This window comes from Homo sapiens (genome assembly GCF_000001405.40).
Source record: "Homo sapiens chromosome 16 unlocalized genomic scaffold, GRCh38.p14 Primary Assembly HSCHR16_RANDOM_CTG1".
NCBI lineage: Eukaryota > Metazoa > Chordata > Mammalia > Primates > Hominidae > Homo > Homo sapiens.
The window spans coordinates 190,279-198,099 of NT_187383.1; positions in this window are offsets into that span (position 1 = coordinate 190,279).

Sequence of the window (7,821 nt, forward strand, 5' to 3'; positions counted from 1 at the left end):
GATCATTTTAAAATCTTTGACCTTTATATTTTAATGAATAAAATGTTGGTAGTTATTAGTATAAAATAATTTATGTCTTTTGGACTTAGCATCCAGTATTTCTTTTTTAATAAAGAAAATAATTATTCTCTTGCAATATACTACGTTTATCTGGGTTTTGAAAAATGATGTTTCCTAATATGAGAAAGCCATTTACATTTTTAAATCTACAAAGGCAAATGGAATGGTACTAAATTATTTACATAATAATGTTTAGGTGGTGGCCCTTATAACATTCTTTCTATACTTCCTACAGAGTTGGGGATATGCAATCCTAGAATATTTCTGGGAGCTAATCCTTTAGCTTGATGAATGAAACAAGACTTTTAAATAAAATTAAACTTTCAAATTATCCAGGTAATGGGCCTGTCTTTTTTTTTTTTTTTTTTTTTTGAGACGGAGTCTCGCTCTGTCGCCCAGGCTGGAGTGCAGTGGCGGGATCTCGGCTCACTGCAAGCTCCGCCTCCCGGGTTCACGCCATTCTCCTGCCTCAGCCTCCCAAGTAGCTGGGACTACAGGCGCCCGCCACTACGCCCGGCTAATTTTTTCTATTTTTAGTAGAGACGGGGTTTCACCGTTTTAGCCGGGATGGTCTCGATCTCCTGACCTCGTGATCCGCCCGCCTCGGCCTCCCAAAGTGCTGGGATTACAGGCGTGAGCCACCGCGCCCGGCCGGGCCTGTCTTTTAATTCAATGGATATGGAGCATAATGAATTATCCCCTGTTCATTGGGTAATAAGTTCTCATTCTTAACTTCTAATACTCAAAATGTCCTTTAATTTTTAATTTTCGATAGTCATATCATTATCCCTAGGTATTTTAGCTTCTATCTTAAATTCTAAAATAATTTTGAAACAGGAGAAAGTATTCTTTATTACTATATGTATTAAACATCATGGTTTTCAAATTTAACTGCAAATGTATCTTTTCATTGCTTCTTGGTGACGCCCTTCACCCTATCCATATTGTCACTACCAAGTGGTGATTACTTTTCAGGTTCACATACTTGTTCTTTAGAAAAATCTTCCCTGTGCCTTATAAAGAATATGATTGTTGGCATTCAAAAGCCAGCGAAGTATACATTATTAGCCTGTTGCCTAACTCATTTCTTTAAGAAACTACACTAATTACCCACATACTTATGTTTTTATTTCCTCATTATTTCTGGAGAAAACAAATACTGCTAACATGATATTTGTAAGAGAGAAAAAAGTCTTTTCTTGAAAAGTGCTGTCATTGTAGTACTAACTTATAGTATCAACTTCTTTATCAACTCCTTATACACTTTTTATTCTGAGAGAAATAAAAAAGCTAAAAGTGAAATGACTTTTTTTACTCTCCATATTATAAGCACCCATCTTGGTAATTTAGGGTCTTTATAGTTAGGGTAAGTTGTGTCATATCGAGGTTACAAAATAATAAGTATTTTGTCTCTTTGGGCCTTTCCTTATTCAGTAATACTGTCAGTTTGGCTTTTTTTCTAGGTCAACTTATTGATCTCAGTATTCTGAAATAATATGTTTACTACCTTTTGATAAGCATTTAAAATATTAGATTTATTGTTACTCTTCTGCCTTCATTGGGCTGGAAGAATAATTGTTTCTCTCACTCCACAAAAGCCAAGTTGCAGAGAAAAACACATAGACATTCAACTGCAAAGCAGAGAAACTTGACTATTTCCTGCAATTTTAAAGTGTATATTGAATAAAACCATCTTTTTATTTTCTTTTTTGCTCACTGGCAAATATTAACAACATCAAGTGTGTTATTATAATGTTATCTAGTTAAAAATCTCAAAAAGTTTTCATAATTACCATTTAAAAATATATAAATAGGTGACCTAATGTTAATTTTTATTGTCTGAGACCATGTCTGTTATTTCACTCTTTAAATTCAGTTAGTCATGCAGAACCTAGCACTTAGTGGATACTCAAAAATTATTTGCTGGATAAAAAAAAGGTTAAACATGTAATATATACAAAATGTACTAGAAAAAATGCACCAAACAATTTTGTTATAGCAGTTTAATGTAGAATATTGCCTTTAAAAGATAATATAGTTTTCAGGTGTCTACGGTGATTTTGTAATATTTGTGCACATATAAAATAATATTTCCAAAAATGTAATCCAGTGAGGAAATATACTTTCTAAATTCTAGATTTATAATTTAGGGTTTAAATTATAAAATCATTAAGACACAAGTGAAATATAGTCAAATATCCCCTTGGAAAAAAATTAAGTGGCCTCTAAAGTGAGGTATTCATATATGTAATTTTACAATCCTCTAGTGATAGAATTAATTAAATACACCACCAAATTGATTAATTCCTACAGTGTTAAAAGAGAAGCACTAATAATGCCAGTGACCATGTAACATGGATTAAGCTACAAGTCATAGAAATGTGATGAGAAGCCTCAGCGCTGTAAAACAGAGGGTGGAGGAAAGCTTTTCCTCTCTCAAATGAGATTTGCCAAGTATACTTCTTGAAGAATAGGAAGTTGAAGTGTTCAGGACTTTTATGACTATTCTACTTTGGCTTAGTTTACATGATTCTTAGTTTATTAGCCTAGAAATGGCCAAGAAAACTTAAGGCTCAATAATTAGTTATAAATATGAAATATCCCCAATTTTTAAGATAAAAACAACTTATAAATGTATTTGTCTGTAAAAATTGTGTATATTTTTACAGAACATCTATTTCTTTCTTTTTTTATTTTTTTATTATACTTTAAATTCTAGGGTACACATGCACAATGTGCAGGTTTGTTGCATATGAATACATGTGCCATGTTGGTGTGCTGCACCCATTAACTCATCATTTATATTAGGCATATCTCCTAATGCTATCCCTCCCCCCTCCCCCCACCCCACAACAGGCCCTGGTGTGTGATGTTCCCCTTCCTGTGTCCAAGTGTTCTCATTGTTCAATTCCCATCTATGAGTGAGAACATGCGGTGTTTGGTTTTTTGTCCTTGTGATAGTTTGCTAAGAATGATGGTTTCCAGCTTCATCCATGTCCCTGCAAAGGATATGAACTCATCATTTTTTATGGCTGCATAGTATTCCATGGTGTATATGTGCCACATTTTCTTAATCCAGTCTATCGTTTTTGGACATTTGGGTTTGTTCCAAGTCTTTGCTATTGTGAGTAGTGCCACAATAAACATACGTGTGCATGTGTCTTTATAGCAGCATGATTTATAATCCTTTGGGTATATACCCAGTAGTGGGATGGCTGGGTCAAATGGTATTTCTAGTTCTAGATCCCTGAGGAATGGCCACACTGTCTTCCACAATGGTTGAACTAGTTTACAGTCCCACCAACAGTGTAAAAGTGTTCCTATTTCTCCACATCCTCGGCAGCACCTGTTGTTTCCTGACTTTTTAATGATCGCCATTCTAACTGGTGTGAGATGGTATCTCATTGTGGTTTTGATTTGCATTTCTCTGATGGGTCTATTTATTTAAAACAAAGGGAGGGAAGTCTCATTTACATTCGTTTTTTTCATAGCCTTTTGAACTTTGCAATTTCTATGTTTCAGAACCTATTTCTTACAGTTTTTCTATGCTAAACTCTGTCCTGGTCAGTTCTAGAGTGTATGAAGAACCAAATGATGTAACTGTATGTGACCTGGCTGTAGTGGAACAAATTTGACTCTTAAGTATGCAGGCTCTAATTTTCCTGTCTGGTTTTGGTAAGTATTCCTTACACAGGTTTTTTTCTTTGAAAATCTGGGATTGAGAGGTTGATGAATGAAAATTAATCCTTTCACTTTGTTGTGTATAGGTTTGCAATAATTAGGTCAGAGTGGAGTTTTAAGGTCATGGAGGGGGCTGATGACTTACAAATAATGGGCTCTGATTGGGCAACTACTCATCTGAGTTCCTTCCACTTGACCTAATTAAGCTTGTGAAATTTACACTAAGCCATGAGTTCATCTTTAAAAAGTTTTATTAAAAGATTTTCAGCTGTTCCAAATAGGACTTATTGGTGGAATGTGTTTTAAAGGATCATATCAGATGAATGAAAGGTATTTGATCCTTTGTTTCCTTAATAATAAAATGATGGTTTGGAAAAATAGGCTAGAGTCTAACCACAGTGCTATTATTAAGGCTTTCTTGTTAAACATAGGTCTAAGCCTAAGTATGTCAATACAACAAATACTTAGTGTTTCATTTCTAGTAATAAAAAAATAAAGTCTTTCTGGCATAAGGATGATTTTCATCTGGTTATTTTGAAACATTTTTGTAAAATAAATTTCCATCTATAAAGAACATTTTTAATTTGTAAGGAGGGGTATGTCTCTGTGCACTGGAAGAGAGGGAGGACTAAATCACTGGGAAGTCTTATGATAAAGAAGCCATTGGCTTAAATCAGCAAAGCAAGCCATCCTTTGGTTTAAGGTGTTTTTCCTGGCCATCCTGTCTTGACTAGAACTTTACCTACACCTTCCTTTTTGGTTTAGGCAAATTATCATATCTCAACCTGAAGTCTCAGCTCTGTGTCTTTGAGATATAAATGTTCTACCACGTCTTCTCTGGAACCTGATAACTATCTATCTCTTTAAAATGCAAGTCTAGGGAGATGACTCATCAGAAAAAGAAGAAAAAAGAGGTATTTGGAAATTGTGCAAATTAAAGCAGCCCCTGATGCCAAAGTCTACACATTCCTGAGTGAGTCAGTTCTGGCCAGTTCTAGCTGGATCAAGAGAGCTCTGCTGGGCAAGCCTGAAGAGCACCTGGATGGCAGACACCTGAGGAGCCAGGTGCCTGAAACTTCCTCCACCTGGTTGAGGAGCGCTAAAGCCCAGGTGCTGGCTGGACAACCCCTTCTGGTTGCCTAAGCAGGTGGCAGAAGAAGGAAACAAGGTCAGAGGCAGAGTGTTGAACCCTGCCTCCCAGGTGGGTGGAAGATGCCTGTCGCCAAACTAGGGCCCAGCTTGCCGGGTGAGATGGGTGAACTGGTGATCCCCCGAGAGAGTGGACGTCAGAACTACATGGTCCTGGACCTCACCTCGGCCAGCGAAGGAGAGAGAGGGTTAATGTTAACTGCACGAGGCCCACTCTAGCCTTAAATTCTGAAATTCAAACCCTTCCCTTGGAGACAAAACAAACATGACAAGGAATTCTGACATCAGGGGACAAGAATCACAAGTTCCCTAGTGGGAGACTGAGGAGGCAGTGTCCTTCCTGCCCTTGGTCTACTGGCTAAGAACCTTCCTCAGCCTGACCTTTCCACATTGCACTTCCAGCTCTGTTTGCAATTTTCCTCCTTTAGTGCTGAGGGAATCCCAGTGTTCGATCCTGAAATCTATAGGTTCCTAATGGGTGGTTAAAAAAAACCTCAGCGAGAGAAGCAGAAAATGTTTCCTCTTCCTGAAAAACTGTAGAAAGGCAGGCACCATTCTGGGTGAGGACATGGTCCTTGCAAATGTCTTTGTGTTTTGTTTTGTTTTTTTATTTTGAGATGAAGTTTTGCTCTTGTTGCCCAGACTGGAGTGCAGTGGTGTGACCTCTGCTCATTGCAACCTCCGCCTCCTGGGTTCAAGCAATTCTCCTACCTCAGCCTCCTGAGTAGCTGGAATTACAGGCACCTGACACCACACCTGGCTAATTTTTTGTATTTTTAGTAGAGATGGGGTTTTGCCATGTTGGCCATGTTGGTCTCTTAACTCCTGACCTCAAGTGAGCCACCCGCTTCTGCCTCCCAAAGTGCTGGGATTACAGGAGTGAGCCACCGTGTCCCACTGTGAGTGAGTGAGCCACGGCAAAAGTCTTTAAAGACAGCATGTTTCAGAGGCTGTGACGGTGCCCTGTGAACACGCCAAATCTCGCAGTCCCGGGAGCTCTGAGGAGCAGGCCCAGCTCCTTGCCAGGCTGATGGTACTGAAACTCTGCTCTCCAAGACATAACCTGATGGCCGTGCAAGATTTCTTAATTGACTGTGGACCGTGAGAGTCTGCATCTCATTTTAATTAAGACAGGAAAAGAAAGAACAAAAGAGCAACTCCCAGGTTATAGAGAGACTGGATTTTAGTATAATATTCAAGTGTAGCATTGCTAATAATAACAAACCTTTCCCCTCCCAAACGGTAAACACTTGCACTGCCTATTATACAAAAATTCAGCCATCCTCTCTGTTCCCCCGATATCTCCTCCCCAGTGACCCCCCTCATGCGGCCTCATGAGCCTGGCCAGTGGTGAATGGCGCTTTCATGGGCATGAGACTCCACGTGAGTGGGACTCAGCTGGGACCCCTCTCCACGTGGGAGCTGGAGAAGCCACCCTAGTACCAGCTTAAAGTGTCCGTGATGTCCCTGCTGCTGAGGTAGGGGCCGCCTCTGAGCTGGTCTCGGGGTGTGAGCTGCTGCTGGTAGTGGGCTCTGCCCTGAGGGCCTGGTGGCTGGTCGGAAGGGCAGGCACACATGGGTGACTCCCCAGGATCTCAGGCCACCTCCCCACCACAGTCCTGCACTGTGTGTTCCAGGCATGTGCTGAGTGCCTGGTCAATCACCAGTGCCCTATTGATCCCCGTCTCCAGAGAGATCATTTAGCGTCACTCCACAGAGGGGGAAACTGAGGCCCAGAGAAGTAAGGTGACTCTCCCCAGTCACAGGTCTGGTCAGGAGTAGGATGGGAGGCTAGTCCCTTGCTGTCTGACTCCCTGAGCCCACCCATATCCCAAGGCAGCCAACCTCTGCCCGCCCTGGCTCAGGCCCCGACTGGCCCCTGTGGTGGGTGATGTCTATCTTCCTGGCCTTTGTGCTCCCAGCCAACTGGGATGGAGCCTCCAGCTGGCATGATAGGTTGTAGCTACGGACAGAAGAGTGGCTGTGAGGCTGCCAGGAATCTCACCAGGGCCCCCTCCCAGGGCCTGTCCAGAGTGAGGTCTGGGTACCCCAGGCATTGCCAGACCACAGGATCTGATGTTGGCCAAGAGGCTATGGCCACAGGCTTTCTGAGGCTGGCCCCCAGGGAGAGTTCAATCCTACTGTCCCAATTCCTGCCCTGGCCTTACCTCTCAGTCTCACCGAGTCGCTTCATGGTCCCAAACCAGGACCCAAAGTGCTGCTTGGGCTTAAGGTTGTAATTATTTGCAGCCAACTGGAGCAGCGGACCTCCTTGCTTACTTTGAATTCCTGGGTCCAGAGGGAAAAACTGGGTGGTGACAGGGACTGGACAGGGATGCCACAGGGGCCCTGTGGGGGTGTTAGGTGGGGTGGTGGCCAGTCTTTGCTCATAGGGGACCCCCTCCTCCTCTCCAGTCCTGTCCCCACCTGTTCTCAGAGCTGGCTCAAGCAGCAGCTCCTCCAGGAAGGTGTCCTTGGTTTCAACCTGGTACTCCCACCTGCAGGTCTTCCTGGAGTGTCTCCTCTTTGTCTGTCTCCCCATAAATCTAAGACGAGGGGGATGGATTTGCCCACGGCTACTCACCGTATGACTCTTGTGCGGTTGATCTGTCTCCCATGCAAGGCCAACAGCTGAAGTCCATCAGAAAGGGTCCTCTGGCCCAGAGCCAGCCCCTGCCCACCCCTGTCATGCTGCACCCAGGGTGCAAGACCCAGATCAGGTCTGGGTGACAGGAGGGGTATAGAGGGGCTGAGGCTCAGGGGCCTTCTAGCCTAACTTGTCTGGAGACAGTTGGGGAAACTGAGACCCCAAGCAGGGAGGTATGGCTCCGAGAGATTATTCTCATTAACCTGGAACACTTTTGCAAGCTGTTAGGTGTAGGAAGTCTGTCACAGGTAAGAGGAATGCTTTTTGAGAGCATGAGAGACAGC